The 19,241-nt window shown below is 35.0% G+C and overlaps 2 long non-coding RNA genes across 3 annotated transcripts in view, besides 1 other annotated feature; one reads left to right on the forward strand and one right to left on the reverse strand.

The window, feature by feature from the left end:
- LINC00550 (long intergenic non-protein coding RNA 550) overlaps positions 1–8,501 on the reverse strand; it is a 24,042-nt gene extending 15,541 nt beyond the window's left edge. Inside the window, exon 1 of the long non-coding RNA NR_038878.1 lies at positions 8,353–8,501. This is a non-coding gene — a long non-coding RNA (long intergenic non-protein coding RNA 550). The remainder of the gene's footprint in view (positions 1–8,352) is intronic.
- On the forward strand, positions 1,560–17,593 carry LINC02342 (long intergenic non-protein coding RNA 2342). Of its 2 annotated transcripts, XR_942055.1 has the most exons (5): positions 1,560–1,644; positions 8,229–8,393; positions 11,893–11,942; positions 13,673–13,736; positions 16,740–17,593. It is a non-coding gene; the product is annotated as a long intergenic non-protein coding RNA 2342 (long non-coding RNA). The 2 variants fall into 2 exon arrangements; XR_942053.1 differs by lacking the exons at positions 1,560–1,644; positions 8,229–8,393 and adding an exon at positions 8,681–8,903.
- Positions 11,630–12,829: an enhancer, noted in NCBI's record as "P300/CBP strongly-dependent group 1 enhancer chr13:69462586-69463785 (GRCh37/hg19 assembly coordinates)". NCBI's record gives its function as "activates an origin of replication core promoter dependent on BRD2, BRD4, P300/CBP, MED14 and CDK7 cofactors, with strong dependence on P300/CBP, by STARR-seq in HCT116 cells {active_cell/tissue: HCT116}" and the evidence as "EXISTENCE:reporter gene assay evidence [ECO:0000049][PMID:35650434]".
- Positions 17,594–19,241: the final 1,648 nt, after the last annotated feature.

Here is a 19,241-nt window from a genome sequence, read left to right on the forward strand (position 1 = left end):
CTCCCTGCGTCAGCCTCCCGAGCCGCTGGGACTACACGGGCCCGCCACCACACCCAGCTAATTTTTTGTATTTAGTGGAGGCAGGGTTTCACCCTATTAGCCAGGATGGTCTCGATCTCCTGACCTCCTGATCCTCCCCCCTCGGCCTCCCAAAGTGCTGGGATTACAGGTGTGAGCCACCGTGCCCGGCCCATAAATGTGGTTTCAGGTGAAGCTATTGTTTTTACAAACTGCATAGTCAAGCTGAATTCAAGACCACTGCCGCTACTAGAAAAGAATGGGTGAGGGCTGGGCGCGGTGATCACTAGGTCAGGATATCGAGACCATCCTGGCTAACACGTTGAAACGCCGTCTCTACTAAAAATACAAAAAATTAGCCGGGCATGATGGTGGGCGCCTGTAGTCCCAGCTACTCAGGAGGCTGAGGCAGGAGAATGGCGTAAACCTGGGAGGCAGAGCTTGCAGAGAGCCAAGATCGTGTCACTGCACTCCAGCCTGGGTGACAGAGCAAGACTTCGTCACAAAAAAAAAAAAAAAGAAAAGAAAAGAAAAGAAAAGAATGGGTGATACGGAGATCAACCCATAGAATCAAAATTATCTACTAGCCATAAATAACATAGTTACAAAAGTATCAAGGCATATTATAGTAGGACAACTATAAATAAAACAGATAATCTTAAAACTACCTGGAGAAAAATACACACATTAGTGTCATGGTAGCTGTGAGATGACTAACAACTGAGTTTTCAACATAAATAAGCTAGAAGAGGTGGGATAGAATTTTTAGAGTGCTGAAAGAAAATAACTTCCAAACTAAACTTTTAAATTCTGTTAATATGCCATTCAAAATTAAGAGTTCATAAACATTTTATCTGACAAAAGTTTAAACGTCCATTTCAATCAGACTTCTAAGAGAAATACATTAAAAATTTGTTAAGCTAGAATATAATCACAGATGGAAAGATGGAATGACATGAAAAAGGAAGAGCAATAGAATGTTTAGATATAGGGATAAATGAAAATAAATGTTGACTACATATTTACTATACAGTATAAAAATGATAACATATGAAATTTAAAATGTATGTAGTGCTAATGTGATATCAGCAATGTTAAAGGTGAAAGACAAAAGTAGTCAAATTGTCTTAAGCTATCCCAAAAGTGGTAAAGGATATAATTTAAATTACATTGTAAGAAATCAATCATAAATTTAGATACTTCTATGGTAATTACTATCAGAATGGTAAAAGATTATATAAATAATACACTAACAGAGGGGAAATTAGAATAATCAATTAAAACTAAAACAAAAAGGTAGATAAAAAGGACATAAAATAGACATATTACACTAAATAAGTAAGATTGTAGATATAAACAAAAATAAGTCTAAAATTAAAATGAATGAGAGGCTATTACTCCAACAACGTTATTATTCTTGATGTAAAATAGTGTAGTAGTGCTTTCACTAAATCAAAATCCAGGCAATAATTAATTACAAATAAGTTTTGGCAGTTAGCATAAATGAATAATTCTGTCTTTATCTTCTTCCTTCCAGTTACCTTTGCCCATGAAGCCATAAAAATATATAAATCCCAAGAATGACATTTCTTAACGAATTATCAACATTCACAACATTTCTATGAGGTCAGTTTCAATACTTTGCTAATAGAATCACATTTTTATGAGTTTATTTGTAATGCATAACTTTTTACAGTGAAATCATCCTGAAAGGCAAATTATCTGGGTGATCATTTTTGCATTAGAGTAATCTTATATTCCTTTAAATACTAAACACCACCTGTGTATTCCAGGAAGTCTTTTGGACACTGTGTACACAGTGGTACACAAAGCATTTATGTTTTCTTTTGCCAATCTGAAGTTTACAGAGTATTAGAGAAGATAAATATTAAATATGATATTTGAGGATGTGAAAAATGGACAGATTGTTATAAAAGAGAAAAAGAGTAATCAAATTATTAACGGTTGTTCAAAAAGTCCTTTCTGTAGAAATTTCATGTAAGCTAAGACCTAAAGGATGAATTGCATTAGTAAGATAAGATATTAGGTGTGTTTAATGAGGCATAGGATGTGGCATGTTTAAAATGCATCGACACAAATGATCCTGATGTTTTAGAGAACGTAACAACTGAGCAGTCAGGACAAACTGTGCATTATTTATAAACAAATGCCTATAAAAGTAGAGTTTGAAAGAGTAGGAGATGTCTATATTGCATAAATGGTATAAGTAGGGAGACCACAAGAATCATACAAAGCCGAGACAATCTTGAGAACATAATAAATCACCCTGAATAAACATGCTAGGTTCATAAATGTAAACCAAGACTGACAAGATCAAATCACAACCCTATGTAAAATCTATTATTTAAATTTCAATTTTATTAAAGCCGAGTATTTCCCTTTACACTTCATATGTAAGGTTTTGAGGTTGACTACAAATATCTAAAGTAATGTGAAGAAAATTGACACTATACCAGAAACAAGAGGATAAAAACCAAAAACAATGAATTGGTAGCAGGAATGTTTAAAAAGCAGACAATCACACTCATTTAATGTGGGTAAGGCATGCCAGTGGCTTAAAAATTACTACGATGAGCAGTTGCAAAACTCAAATGCAAAATAAAGAAATTATGATTACTTATAATTCTATATTCACTGAACTACCTTTCTTACCTCAGCCCCCTTATGTCTTTGATTTTTATATTTTCTTGATATTTTTTAAAAAATAAATCCATGCATTAGATTGAGAATGAGGAAGACTGAGCAAATGTGAAAATCTGTTAATCTATGAATATAAATACCCCCCCCAAAAATATGGTGACAGTATTGTTGAATGTCTTGAAAATAATAAATCTGGTTATATTGAAAAGAGAAATAACTAAATTCCTACAAAATTTTAACATTTGTGGAAATTCCCACAAAATGCTTCATATAATTATGGAGTATAAGCTCTGCAATGTGTCAGATATACAGAAAATAATCAGAAAATTAGTAAAACAAAATTCCAATTTAAGTGTTCAAAGTTTATATACTAAATGGTTGGTGTTACTTTTAAGCAAGTACACAGTATTTGACATTCAAATATTAATAGTATGAGTCTGTCAGAGAGAATTTGCCTCAGGAAACAGAAACCACCCTATGTAATTTAAGAAGAAAATTGCTACAGATAACTAAATGCTTAGAAAACTGTTGGAAAGGCTGACGAGTAGGTTCTCACTAAGCCTAATAGAATGATTATAAGAACAATATAGAACAGACCTACCAGGGAAGCCACTATCTCTGAAGTCACTAATGAAACAATGAGTTCAAGAATACTTGACTTCTTGTTCTCCTTTTCCTGGTGACAGAAAGCTGTGATGTAGGAATCAGAAAACTGAGATGATGAAACTTCACTGCTGAAGTCAACAGGCCTTCACCTTCACATCTTATGGGCTAAAGAATAAACAATGAATTCATGTTCTGAAAATATCTGGGTCTGGGCTTCCCTTCTGAAAAGATGTTTATGTACTTATTAAATTGATTTATTTATTATATGACTATTCAGACAAATTCCACTTGGTCATGGACATTATAAAACTTTTTATATATTGCTGGATTTCATTTACCAATATTTGTTATGCCTTTTTGGGTTGATGTTCCTGAAGGATATTTGTGTGGTGTGTTCTTCTTATCTTGTAATGTCAATATCATATTTTTGTATTTGGGTAATTCTGCCTTCCTATAGCAAGTTGTTGAGGCTCTCATTCTCTTCTATTTTCTGAAAGTATGTATGTATATTAAGGTGATGTTATTTATGAAGGAAAAGTGTGATAGAATTCTTCCAGGAACATCATCTGTGCCTGAAGATTTATTTGTGGGAACTTTTTTTAGTAGAAATTTATTTTTTTATTATAAAGAATGTTATTTATATTTTCCATCTTTCTTCTGTGTTAGTAAGAGAAGTTATTTTAGAATTTTTTCCATTTAATCTAAGTTGTCATTTTTTACATATAGTTCATGTTGTAAGAACTATACTATTGTTGATTTGCTTTTTCTCCTTTATTTTCCTAATCGACATTGCTTTGGATTGATTTATCAATTGTATTAATCTTTCTGAAGAACAAAATTTTGGCTTTTTTAACGTTCTGAAATGTTCATCTATATATGATTGTTATTTTGTTTTTATTGTTTATTTTCTTTTACTTTCTAAATAATTTTATACAGTTTGTATTTCTAATATAGGTATTTAAGGCCATACATTTTCATCAAAACACTGCATTATTTTCATCTCACATATTTTGATATGCTGTAGCTTTATTAATATTGTTTGAAATATTCTACAACTTTTTATTTTAATTTATTTTTTGACATGAGTTATTTAGAAATGTTATACTTCATTCTCAAACATTTGGTAATTTTGTAGGTACATACTTTTTGATTTCTAATTTAATGCAATTTTAGTGAGAAAACTCAGTTAGTATATTTGAAATCCTTGACATTTATCATGAGTGTTTATTAGACAAGAATTTGTGTTTTAACTTGAACATTTAACTTGGTAAATGTTCCTGCTGCACTCAAAATAACATATATTCTTGAGTTGTTTATTTAATAGATATCAAATATTAAATTTTGTTAAGCATATTGTCCAAATATTTAACATCCTTAGTGATTTTCTGTTTATCATTCTATCAATTACTAAGAAAGGAGTGTTCAAACATTGGCAGGGTTTATATGGGATTTATATGCTATTCTTTCAATGTTTATGTATGTTAACAATTTTTGTAATAAAATGTTTGAGTAAAAAGGAACGTTTCATTTCCTAAAATATCTAAATATGTTAATTTATAAGTTCATTGATTTCCACACTTCTTAAAATAGCAAAACTTTGAAAAATAAAGAAACAAAAATCACCAGTACATAACAAGTAAAGATAGAGCTGAAAAACACAAGATAAAGCAATGTCATGGTGGTGCCTGGGAGATTTTCAATTCATTAGTGGTAGATCAACAAATGATTGACTTGTGGTGCAATTTCCCAGAGCCTTTCTTGTAACACTATATGATTAAAAAAAAACTATATAATGATGAAAACTGTCCATATGCTACCAAATATGGTAGTCATCAGCTACATGTGGCTGTTGTAATGTGGCTAGTTTGACATCAGAACTAAATTTTTAATTTAATTTGATTTAATTAACTGATGTTTAAACTGAAATAGCTATTTGTATCTAATGGCTATCATATGTGTCTACTAGCTATCATATTTGACATTAGAGCTTATAGAGCTTTTATAGCATACTCTTTGCAATCACTGCACAAAATTATAGAGGTAATTTGAGTATTTTATTAGCCAGTTGTTATTTTATTGTATTTAATTAATGAATATTGTGATTACAAAACTGTGATCCAAATCATTATTATTTCTAAATTTTAGTTATTCTACATAGAATAGCTGAAGTTAAAACTTACATTATTTTTACTAAAAAACATATTATTATTACCTAATATAACAATGAGAAACTGTTTATTCTAAATATCTGAAGTTCTCATACAGGCTTTCATATTATTTTATGATGATTATCAAATAAAACCTGTGTATTTAATTTACATAATTTAATTTGTGATTTTCAAAAGGAAGTGTGTAGGTGGGAGATCCTATGAGCTTCTGTTACTAATACATCCCTTGAATATCATTAACTGAGATTTATTTTCTGTTAATGTCTTCAGAGTTTGGAAGAAGCTAGGTATAGTGTTGCAATAGATTTTCATCTAAAATGTAATAAATACTTTTATCCTATATGTAATACAATGCAAAGAGCAAAAATGGCAAAATCATATAATGTACTTTAACCTTTTCTGCCTAACTTCCTGAGTGTCATAAATGCTTATATTTAAAACATTTTTATAATCAAAATTTATTGGAGTATAGCATTATAGTATTTTTAAATGGTCAATTAATTTTTTTCTGCATATATTCTTTCTTATATTTAACCTTGTTTTGCGTCTCTTACACATTGTTATTTCAAAATGCTATTCTTTCTTTGAAAAGGGAGTATTTATTAATATGAACAAGGGCTTTGTCAATTATTATATATAAAAAAGAATGGATTTCTTAGAAATAAACTGTAGACTTCAGGACTCTTCATTGCATGAACAATTTCTTTGCTTTATTTATATTATATTCTCTGTATACAGAATTTTGTATTTGAAATTTTACATTCTTTCACTTAAACAGTTTACACAGATTTTATAGTCTCCAGTCTCATAAAACCCTAGTACATAAACTAAAGAATAATTAATAGCTCATCTTTTTAATTATTAAGAATATATTTCTGAAATATCCACTATCTATTTTTATCATCAGGTTCAAAGACATGAAATGAGTACATTTAATTTAAAGAAAATTCACACCCATTTTGTTTAATTATAGAGAATGATTTCTAGAGATAAAAGTCTAAGTGTGTAAGTAAGTTTGTTACTTTCCTAAACCCTTTCTTTTCCTCATTCTGTTGTTTTTCTTCTGGTGAAAATTATAGGCTAACATAAAAACAATTTGACACCTGTTAGCGAGAACGAGAACACTGTCAAGGTGAAAATAATTTTCTCATTTTTTTCTTAGAAGATAATCAAAGCTTAGGAGAATCATATATTCATAGTTCTATAGAAAGAAAGAAATTTCAGATATAAATCACTAAACACTAAAAATAAAAATATTACCTTCCCCAAATGAGGCACAATTATTATCAAATTTAAAATAAAAAAATTAAATAATATTAAACACCCCAGTGATTTTGTAAATATGGTATTCTTTTGGTGTTGAAAATCATATGGCTATATATTTTTTCTTATGTGATTATGTTTTCACACACACGTTAATAAATGTAAGTATACATATGCATTTAGTTTATACAGAAAATTAAATCAATATTCTCTATTTATATTATTAGCAATGATTAAAAAAAAGAAAGTAGACTAGCTGGGAAAGTAGACTAGTAAGTAAGAAGATAAAAAAGGAAGATAGATTCTGCCAAATCATTTTTATAGAGTCATGAATAAAATTCACGTAATTATGAAAATGTATCTGCAGTTTATTCAAATAAAATCAGCTAAATGGGAGAAGCTCTTCTTATTTTGTAAATGTACTGAGGCAACAGGAGTTTACCGTTATGTATTTTCAGTTGTTGGAAGTAGATGTACACTGGTCATTATGACTTTTATCTCAGAAACGTTTTAGTCTAATGTTACTGAAACCCAGGAAATGTTGTACATTTTGGGCCTTTCAACTATTGTACTGATGAAAGCAGCTCACTCACATTAGCATTTTTAATTTGACAGGGATTACAAAAACACTGGGTGCTCTTTAACTTTTGTCACAGCCATCTATTACATTAAGAACAAGTTGATTTTAATATTTGTCAAATTAAAGAGCATTGTATCAAGCTAACCTTGGGTGTTCATTTACATAATTGGCTCTCTGCTTGCTGTGTATTATGTGACACCCTCATTTGATTACTGTTCATTTTTCTGAAATTCCGAAGCAGCATCTAACATAACCTGCATATTAATATTTCATTTTCATCAGGCCTTACTTTATGCAGTCAAGTTACAGCAAATGCTACCTTTTCATTAGTAAGCTTGTTATAAGTCTCTTGTTTCAGAGCTTTTAAAAAACAAAGTTCGATTCACATGTTTAACCTGTTCCATAATAGAAAAACATAACTGGACTCTAACTGTTTGTTTAAGTAAATAAAGGATCCTCCTGCTGGGTTGGCCTTGAGAAAAATCTCTGAACTTGAGCAAGAAAAATGTAGTGCTTATTGGCCCCTATATCAGTCAACATTTTGTAATATAAATAAAATAAAAATAAAATAAAATCTTAGTGACTTACAATAACAAACTTTTTTTTTTTTTTTGAGACAGTGTCTTACACTGTCACCCAGGCTGGAGTGCAGTGGTGCGATCTCGGCTCACTGCAACCTCTGCCTCCCAGGTTCAAGTGATTCTCCTGTCTCAGCCTCTGGAGTAGCTGGGATTACAGGCGACCACCACCACGCCCAGCTAATTTTTTGTATTTTTAGTAAAGATGGGGTTTCACCATGTTGGCCAGACTGGTCTCGAATTCCTGACTTCGTGATCTGCCCACCTCGGCCTCCCAAACTGCTGGAAATATAGGCGTGAGCCACCCCACCTGGCTGAATAACAAACTCTTAATTCTTTTTCTTAAATCTGCAGGTTGGCTGTGGCTTTCCACTGGGCTATGGATTTACAGTGAATACTTATAATATTATGTTGCCTGGGCATCTATTTTGAGTATCAGATTGTCTTGTACCAGGAGCAGAACACAGACATCACTCACCAAATTTCCAGTTCTCAGCTCTCTCCCAGTTACTGAATGTGGTGAGTCCAGATATCTGCCCTCAATAAGGACTTCTTTGTGACCTCCCTATGGGACATACAGACAGAGTCTTCTGGACTAGGCCCATTGATCACCACCGCGCTCCCCCCACCCCACCCCCTGCATGGACTGAAGACCATTGCTCAGTCACAGCAGTGTGACACTGGCAGACAGCCTATTGTCCACGTATCCAACATGATTCCCACACTGCTGTAACTGAACAATGGTCTCCAGTCCACGCAGGGAGCGGGAGAAGGGGCGGTGATCAATAGGCCTAGTGAATCCCATGTTGGACACTTGAGGAATAGGCTTTCTGCCAGGGTAAAGGAGTACACTGTGAAAGGCACACTGTAACATCCACAACCAAATCCTCTGAAGTCCTGTCAGGGCAGGCCGAGCGTTCATACACACTGTCAAGAGAGAGACCTCAAGCACAAATTACAGAGAAAGAAAACAATCTGGCTTAAATCTGCTCCATCTGTCTCTCTTTTTAGGCTCCAGACTATAAAGCGGTGAGTGAGTATTTGGGCACTGTGATGATTAATTTTATATGTCAATTTCCATGCGCCATGGGGTGTCCCCCAAATAAGACATGTATAGGTGTGCCTGTGAAGGTGATTCCTGATGAAATTAGCGTTTGAATTCGTGGACTCAAGGAACTTCACTCTCCCCAGGGGAGGGGTGGGGATCATCCAGCCCATTGAGAGCCTCAATAGAACAAAAAGGTGAAGGAAGGATAAATTTGCTATTTTTGTCTTCTGCCTGTTTGCCTCATAAGGACATAGGTTTTCACCTGCTTTTAGTCTGGGATTTACACTTTTGCCTACCATGGTTCTCAGGCCTTCCTGCTTGTACTAAATTGAACCACACTGACTTTCCTGGGAGTCCCAATTGCAGATGACAGATTGTGGGACTTAGCCTCCATAACTGCATGATTAAATTATTCAAAATAAATATTTTTTGGTTCTCTTTCTCTGGAGAACCTCAACTAATATAGATATGTTCCTTTTGTGGTGAAGGACAGGGTACTGAAAGCGTAATCCAAAACATCTTAAGCACATTTGAAGCCTCTACTCAGATATTAATTAAGTCAAAGCAGCTAACATCCATTGCCAAAGTACTCATGGTCAAGGATGAAATGCAGACTTTTCATTGACAAGAAAAGGGAGACTGAATATTTATTGAAAAATAATATAACTTGTCCCAATCCTTCAAGGAAATGTTTCAATTTGCTAGGCAATTCACACCTGCAAACTCACTTGATCCTCAAAGCAACACTGATAGACAGATTTTTGTTTGTTCATTTATTTTTCTTATACAGGTTATGAAAGTAAGTAAAGCACACCAACAAGAGTGAACATTTATAAGACTGAATTGTTTACTGAGCAAAGGTTGGAATGTAGACCTATTTAATCCAAAAGCCTTTTAGGATTATAGCCTAGAATGGCTTTCTTCCATCTACCCCACTCATTACATTACTATCTCTCATTATATAAGCTCAATTTTTAAAAATTGAAACACTGCTATAGACAAAGTATTATTTTTTTGTGTTTCTGCCTTTCTTCCTGCAATTCAAGCCACAATTTTCTCTACAATGCATATTTACTTGTTCTGAATGAAGTATTTCTAAGAAAATATCTAGTTACTTTAGTTCTAGGAGAATTCATAGTAATAACATTTTTGCTCTCAAATAATGTCTCTACGAAGCCAAAGTGGGATGGAGATGTGAGAAAAGAAGATAAACTTATAGCAAGTCTATATGAAAAATGTGGAATAAAATGACTCCCTACAACATTCAAATGTCAAGATTGTCTATAAATTTCTATGTCTTGTTAATTACCAAATCCCAAGATCAGCACCAAAGCATTGTGATGCTTTGTAAATATCTGAAATTAACACATACCAGGGAAAACTCTTTCCTCTGAGAGAACAGCTGAGGAAATCAGGTTGACAAGACGCTGAAGGCAAGAGAATACCTAATTCTACAAAGCTGCTAAAAAATAAATACTTCAGTTTTGTATATGTATTGAATTTTCAGTGTCCAATCTAAACTCTTATTTTTAAAAAACATTGATTATAGTGACAAATAATATTCTGTAGACATTTGAAAAATAAAAACATATCCATCTGAACTTGGGTATACATACCACCACCACTTTAGTATGCATTCACACACATTATTTCCATGAACATTTTCCCTTTTTCTTCACATTATCTCTCCCCAATAATCTCAGGATAGAAGGCTGATGTAGCAAACAGTACTAGATATGCCCATATAAATTTAATAAAGAAGATCTATAAATTTATGTCTCATTGATTTGAATTATAGGCTTGTTGTTTTTAATAGATTACTACATTCATAAATATAAACACTTGGTAATTTTCTTCATAGTGTTTTTTGTGCTTTAGATGATACATTGTGGTTCATCACAAAATGCAACTGTTTTAAATGGGATAAATTATTTGTTGTATGTAAAAGAAGCTGATTCCGCCAGATAAAGCAGAAAAGGAGCCAAGAGTTCAGAATAGCAAGAAATGCTAGGTTTGAGCCTAGGCTTCCCCAACTGCTCTAAAAAAAATAGCTCTGGTTTGGATAGAAAAGAACTGCTGCTTCTAAGAAACTCTAGATGACACTCTCTGCCACTCAAAAGTCTGTAGTCAACTCCAACCTACAGGTCGTTACTACTGTCCCTGAAACAATTATCTTCTTTTTTTGATTAGTAACTCTTAATTCAATAAAAGAAGCTATGCATATATTTCTGGTACAAGGGAGGCAGAGTTAGTGATCACCACCATTTCTAGCTCTTCTGGCAGGGGGCGGGGGGTGTCAGCCAAGCAGCACTCGTAAAGATGGTAGTTCCACAACATAATCGTTAAATAAATGACAAATTTTTGTTACATCATAGTAGGTCTAGCCAGTCATCATTGATCAGTAATTTTTAAAGATTTTTTTCACCTGTATGAGTTAAAAAATAAAAAGGTTCATTCAGTTTGATTAAGCACAAATATTTTGTCTGCAATGTGTATAGATGTTACCCATTAAGATAATTTGTTAGCATTCAAGCTATTTAAAAAATGAATAAAACCCATGGAAAATTATTCCATTGGTTGTAATTAAACATGGTGCATATAGGTAGACTAAAATAAGTTTTCTACATATGTGTAGAAAGGTTTTTTGTGTTCTTGGAAAAGATATAGCACACACGTGGCTACAGTGAAAGTTTAACTTACAAGTGCTGAATTTACATACTGAAGGCCCAAATATCTACATGGAAGCGGCAAATAAAATACTATATTACTTGAAATAAAACTCAAGCTATTGGCAAAATAATGTAATGGTAGAATCTGAAATTTAGTGACAAAATCAATTGTAATAAAATTCAAAATTGTCAGCATTTGCAGAACTATAGTGGTAAACATAATTGTATTTTTCCTTATATAAAGTTTTGGTGCTGCAAAAGAAATAGCACTTGAATATAAAATTTTCTTTTTAATTCTCAGGAAGGCAAGGTACTTCTATGGAAGGGTGTGCTCTCACAGATGGAGCAATGGTGAGTGCACACTTGGACAAGGGAGGGGGAGGGGTTCTTATCTGCAACACATGTGGCCCCTGCTGCTGTGTCATTCCCCTATTGGCTAGGGTAAAACCCCACAGGCTAAACTCTAATTCTGTTTGGCTAATTTAAAAAGAGTGACTGGGGTGGGTGCTTTGGTGGGGAAAAAATAATTGGTTATGCAGGGTGGAGAATGAGTCAGGGTGGAGCAGGTAGCAGGTAATCTGAATGAGTCAGGGTGGAGCAGGTGATCCGAATGAGTCAGGGTGGAGCAGGTGATCAGAATGAGTCAGGGTGGAGCAGGTGATCAGAAAGATTCAGGGTGGAGTAGGTAATCAGAATGAGTCAGGGTGGAGTAGGTAATCGAAAAAGGTTGCTTTGCGAGGGAGTTAAGTTTAAAAGTAGACGGCAAAGAATTGAACACACTGACATATTGATTCTTTGAAGAGAAATTCAGAACTTACATCTAACAATCCCTCCTCTTGCATTTTCCTACAGATTTTTCTCTTCAAACTTTTTAAACATGTCTTGGCTTAGTTCTTCTGCTTGATTTTCCAAAAGAACAAGCTTCTTTGGATAAGGTGAAGGATAGTTAAGGGAGGTTTTAGTAAGTGCCATTCCTATGAGCCTCTGTACCAACCCATGGATGCATGATGTGACATAGCACCTGATAAGAATAAGTACACCCATTACGACTGCAAGGGAAGTAAGAATTGAGGCTATTATTCTTTTCCGTTTACCGAACCACTTTTCTAGCCATTCTGTAAAAGGGATCATTTACCCCTGAGTTGTTGGCTAACTCATTGGACAGAGCAGCTAGACCTTGCAATGCCTTTGTTATACTTCCATTAGGGGCGGTGTTGTTTGGGATGAGGGTGCAACATTGAGTTTTAATCATGATGCAAACTCCTCCTCTTTCTGCTAATATCATGTTTAAGGCTGTCCTATTTTCCCAAGCCCTCTGGCTAGTAGCCCTAATTGTTCAGCTATTCCTTTAACAGCATCTCCAGTGTAGTTAATAAATCACTGTTGGTTGTAGTAGATGTGGTTTATTCCATCTATATTTTTATTAATTTTCACCTACCAAAATATTGACTCAAATCCTGCAGCTATTTGATTTTGGGCTTTAAATTGATATGGTATTCCCCGTGGGACTCCAATTGCGTCTAAATAGAGATGAGAGTCGAAAGACCCATAAGGGGCTTCTCTCACTTTATGATGTCTTATTTTTCCTTCCTCTGGTTGATGAAATGCCAGGGTGAGAGGCAAGGGATAGCCAATTGGACTAAAACACAAGTGCCACGCCAGTTATTTGGCAGAGTGTCCAGTAAAGGTCCACCACAATACCACCACACATCCACTCAGGGATGAACAAGGGCTGACTGATTGATAAGATCTAGAAAATTCTTAAGCTCACTGCATCCCTTCAGGTCTCCAAGGAATGCTAAGTTTCCTCCCTGTCATGAGAGAGATACGAAGTGAACTTAGTGTCGGGAGACAGAAGCTGGATGGCCCTCAGGGGCTGACCCGCAGGGTGCCGGACTTCAAGATATAGCAGACAGAGAGTGTGGCACGACTTGTTACCCCAGGCTGTAGAATCCTGGAAAACAGTTACCATGCAATCCACCCCCAATCGACTGGAGGACAACCCTAGTGGAAAGGGGACTATCTGGGCCTCTGGCCTGCCATGCGCACAAGCATAACAATTGCTTTTGTTTAACATGCAGATGGAATATTTGATCCATTCCAACCAGGCGCTTGCATCTTGGTGTCCTGTCTTAATTGCCAAAGGTTTGTTTTAAGTCTTTAACTTCTAAGATATTTATCTTGGTCTTGTCGTTAGATGGATGAGGAGCAATTGTTTCATTGTGAGAGGTTTTGGAAGAAGGCATAGAGGAAGTTGCAGCTGGTGGGGGAATCAAAGAAATGCATTTCAAAGCATCTAATAGGGTTTGTCCCTGAAACCTCAGCCCCTACACCATAAAGCTGGCTTAAAGAAGGGAACTGCCTTAGAAAAGGGGAAGAACTTCGAGGGTTTGAGATAATAACCTGTGTAGAATTACACTGGTTTAGCTGACAGTTAGTGGGGATGGCTGTCCCTTTAGTAAAATGAATGAATGGTTTTAGGAAATTACAAAAACTGGTTGGGGAAGTCCATTCTTGCCCTTTAGTGGTCCACAGAACGTTGGACCAATTACAGCATAAAAGCTCTACTTCGGGGGTGCCAAGACTCCTGGCTGACACTGGGGTCTTTATCGAAATCTCCCTGGTTAAATGGTCCCAATTCACTAATGCCCAGTCTGAGGAGAGTCAGGAGGGACAGAGGGGCTTTTCTGAAGTAGAGAGCTGTCTTTGACTTGGCAAGTCCCTACAGGGTGTAACAAGGCAACCATTAAATGCAATAGTTTGAGGCAAAATTGACTTGGTTATGTTAATAACTAGGTGGTCAGCAATAGAGCAAGGAAAGAAGAAAGTAATAGAATCGGTGAAAGAGTTAAATTTTTCTTAGCTTTAGTTTGGTAGGATTTTCCCCTGGGACTATGACCCACGACTCTGGAGGGGGTGGCACTTTCTTGACTTGGGTGTGATGAGTCCCTCCCCTTCCCCTGTATAAACAGCAGTCTCAGTGGTTAGCAGCACAAGGTAGGGTCCTTCTCAGGCTGGCTCGAGTTTTCCTTCTTTTCACCCTTTGATGAGAACATGATCCTTAGGCTGGTGCTGGTTTACCAGAAAATCAAGTGGTAGTACCTGTGCTAAAAGACTTTTAGTTTTGAGGGAAAGGAAAGTGGAGGATAAACCAAGTATATGATTTCTAAGAAATTGACCTTTTGTTTTAAATGTGGGGACATCAGCAGTGAACTTTATAGTCCTTGGTGCCTTCTTACTGAGAAATTTCCTTTAGAACCTATTATTATTAGTTTTTAGACCAAAGAAAGCCAAACACCATTTTATATTTGACAATGCTTCTTGTATGATTTTTATACGAAATAAGCTAAATTTCACCTTTATATTAGTGGGTCATTAATGTTAAACTTAATTTTAATAAAACCTTGTAGATATATTTATCCAATTTTTAATGTCTGACCATAAGGTAAGATTTTTATAGACTTTTTTTAACCTTTTATAATTTTCATTAAAGAGAAGATTAGTGCTTTAAGAAAAATCTGTTGTGCTTTTAACGTTCAGTTCGCAGAAAAACTGGATGATACCCCTTTAAATGTAGCCAATATGTTTACACACAGAATTTCCTTCACAATTAACGTTTTAAAACTTGCTTAAAACTTTAAAACAAAATATATATTTTAACCTTTTAATGTATGTAAAAATCCACATATGCCTCCTTATAATCCTTTTACCAAAACTATATTTTACTTTCCTTACACATCTTGCACATAAACTGTTTCTTCAATAGTTTTACCTTCAGGATGCCTAATTACTTTTAAATTATACAACATTTCTTGCATAAATTTCCTTTTATAACTTTTTTTTCACGACTTTCACAGACAATTCTTCGACATGCCTCAACTTTCTGACTTGTTGCAAACGTCCCTTTTTTAAAACAACGAGTTAATTTATTTTAGGACAAGAATTTACCATATAACATCCCTTTTTATCTAAATTCTGCCCCCCCCTTTTTTTTCCAAGATAATTACCATTCTTTTCCAAACTGAACTTCCTTCATGTCTGTGGACTAGACTGTCTAAGGCCACGAGATTAGAAGTTAGGATAATACGTGTTACACTGTTAACTTTTAGCAAACTTTAGTTTTGTTGAAAACCTTGTAAGTTTTGGATTTCAATTTTTCTTTACTACTAATAAGACCTTGTTTAGTCCAAATTAACTTAGAATTGGTATAGATGGTTTCTTCCTGGTTCTGTAAGTACTTTAAAGCTTGGCTGAGTGAACATAGCTCGCACGTTTGAGCAGACCAGTTATCAGGCAATTTTCCTAACTCTGCTTCTTCAAGAGTTTCCTTATCACTTACTGAATACCCATTGTGTCTTTTTCCCCTCAATCACCCGGGAGGAACCATCTATTGTCCTATCCTGAAGGGAGTTCCTCCTAGGTCTGGTCCAACCTTTGTATAGTAATTAAGATTTAGATCCCCTGTTAGGAAACCTGCTGGGTTAAGGGAATTTTTATTGGTTAATGTTGAATCATTTTTTTTTTTAACAGAATAGCCTCATACTTTCTTCTGTTAGCAAAGCAGTTGTTGCTACAGATTGAATGTACTTGGGTCATCTGCAGGTTACTGGGTTAAGGATTTTTGATAGTAAGGGTACAGGTTGTCAGTGGCCTAAGAGCTTTGGGGCTACACCCTTGTTTACACTGACAACAAGGTGGTATTGGAGTGTTATAGGGTCACAGACAAGACCTTCAATTATCAATTATAGGTTTAAAATTTACCCTGGCTTTTAAAGGAATAGGGTACACTTTTTTTTCTTTACTACTTCTCTCTTTCTCTTTCTTTCTCTGACTTCATGTCTCTCTGTCTTGTTGACTTCCTCTTTTCTGTCTCTTCCTCTCTCTCTTTCCTTTCTCCCTCTTTACCCTCTCTCTTTTTCCTTTCTCTCTCTCTCTTCTGTCTGTCTCTCTCTCTCTCTTTTTCCTTTCTGCTTGTCTTTCCCTGCCTCTGTCAGTCTCATTACACTGTTCTCCCCTCTCCTTCCCCTTTTACCCTGGAAACTAAAAATTCCTCTGAGGAGGAGAAACATTAGATGAGGGGAAACAAACAGAGTGAGCAGCCCCTGAATTGACTAAAAAGGTGATAAGCTCATGTTTTCTTTTTTTAAGGCTGACTGTTGGGGTGATCAGACTCAACACTAGGTCGTGGGGGCAACGAAGTCTGGTGGAGTCAAAGAATTGAGAAAAGACAGAGAGAGAGAAGTGAGGCCAGGGGACCATCATGATTGTGGAGGCTGCAAAGGCCCTGAGCTCTAGGAGCCCACGCTATTTATTGGTAATCCAACAAAGAAACAGGTGGTGAGAATGTGGAGGTCAAAAGGGTGCATTGCATTAAGCACATGATTTACAGCTGTGATGGTTTAGCATTTGCTCTTCTACTTGAGATAATGGAAAGCAGGTTCTTTTAACTCAAGATACAATCGATCCTGGAGAGCAAGGAGCAAGGAGCCAGCAAGTCTAGTCACATTCCAGAACCATGAGCCCTGGATTCTATCCAAGCTATGAGGGATTTTATGCCCTGGGCTTAGATTATGGTGTGTCAGGGTAGCCTTCCACCCTTTAGCACAGAGCTTGATGTTCCAAAGACCACAAGGGGTTTTAGACCTGGGACCCCGGACATATTCCAAGACTCTTTTACATTATGTCAGACATGCAAGTCCTGCCTCAGCTTCTCCCAACACTCAGCTTTTTCCCAACAGCTGACTAGTATTCAATTGTGTAAATATACTACATTTTAAAAAATTTATTTATCTGTTGATGGAGGCATAGTTTGCTTCCAAATTTTGGCTATTGTGAGTAATGCTGCATTGAACATGAGATTATAGATGTCTCTTTGACATATTTATTTCAATTTTTTGGATAAATACTCAGAAGTCAAATTTCTGTATCACATGGTAGTTCTATTTTTAATTTTTTGAGAAATCTTCATTTTTTTAAAAATAATGGTTGCACTAATTTACATTCCCATCAACAGTGTATAAGTGTTCTGTTTTCTCCCCATCCTCACAAACACTTGTTATTTTTTGTCTTTCAGATGATAGTCATTCTATTAGGTATGAGTTGATATCTTCTTATGGTTTACATTTGCATTTCCCAATGATTAGTGATGTTGAGCATTATTTTATCTATCTTTTGGCCACATGCATATATTCTTTTGATAAATTTGTATTCAGGTCCTTTTCCCATATTTGAATTATTTTTTTTTCTATTGAGTTGTTTGAGTTTTTATCTATTTTGGATATCAACCCCTTATCAGAAGATGAAAGTCACATTTAAAGATAATTGACAGCAAATAGGAGGGCAAGTTGCTATTATGTCTTCCTCAAATCTCTCTCAAACACAGAAATAAATCACTACTTTGTTTATATTTGTATTTACAGAGAAGGTTGCTAGCAGCTATAACATTTCCAACTCATGATGTATACCCATACAGGATCATCATTGATTCACTAATCTTTATTGTGATATTAAAAATATATATGTATAATATAATGTTAAAGTTCTAAAGTATCATCTATGCCATTTTTATAAAAGTAATTTTTAGCAATTAGATTTTTGAAATTTCATATTCTTAGTTCTTATCACATATTCACTAAATAAGACATCTGATATAAAAGTCTTTGCATCTTGATATGTAAAAGCCTCTAAGGAGATTCTAATGTATACTAAGACCTCAGAACCATTATCTTAGAAGTCATCTCTCACAAACTCATGTGAATGAGCTACTTCATCAGAGAGATTGCATAGGATTTAATAGATTTGTACAAGATCCATTCTCTGGATCCAATCATCCAATTCTGTGTTTTCTCATTTCTTGATAAATCAATTAATGATGACTTTCAAACTACTTTTGCAAAATTGTAACAGTGAGAGAAATCTAACATGGCTGACTCCATCTTGCTTCTAACCTCACAGGCCAACTGCCTTTGCCCATCCTGCATATAAGACAAGCTAACTATCAGAGAAATTTTGTTTGTAGTTTAACTTTAAAGCAAGAACTATAATGATCTCTTCCCAAAACTATCCCCCCCTTTGTTATGGGACCAAACTTACCTTTGTAAAACTAATGAAAGACCATAAGGTTCGAATTTTAGTAGGCGCCTGAATTCTGGTAAGGCCTAGGCATACATAAATAATAACTAGTCATTGTTCCTAACTTGCTTTCTGCTTAGGAGTCATGTAGCCAGAGGTCATAAAATTTATAACTTTCCTAGTTGTCCATATTTATAATATCGCTATTGTAAAACCTAAGACTGGGGTTTGAGATATTTTTCAGACTTTTTATTCTGGTGGAACAACTGATGCCACCTTAACAGGAAACCCATTCCAAGAAACTGACTCAACTCATTCTGTGACCCCCAACTCAGGAACTGACTCAATGCAAGAAGACAGTTTCAACACCCCTGTGATTTCATCCCCAACCCAACCAGTCAGGATTTCCTATTCCCTTGCCGCCCTGTCAACCAATCCATCTTTGAAAAAACCTAGCCACTGAATTCTTGGGATTTGAAAACTCTCTCTCATCTCACTTGGCTGGCCCTATGATTATTAATCTCTTTCTCTACTGCAATATCTGCTGTCTTTGTATATAGTCACCTTCTGTACAGTAGG

The sequence above is a fragment of the Homo sapiens genome, chromosome 13 (assembly GCF_000001405.40).
Source record: "Homo sapiens chromosome 13, GRCh38.p14 Primary Assembly".
NCBI classification, from domain to species: Eukaryota; Metazoa; Chordata; class Mammalia; order Primates; family Hominidae; genus Homo; species Homo sapiens.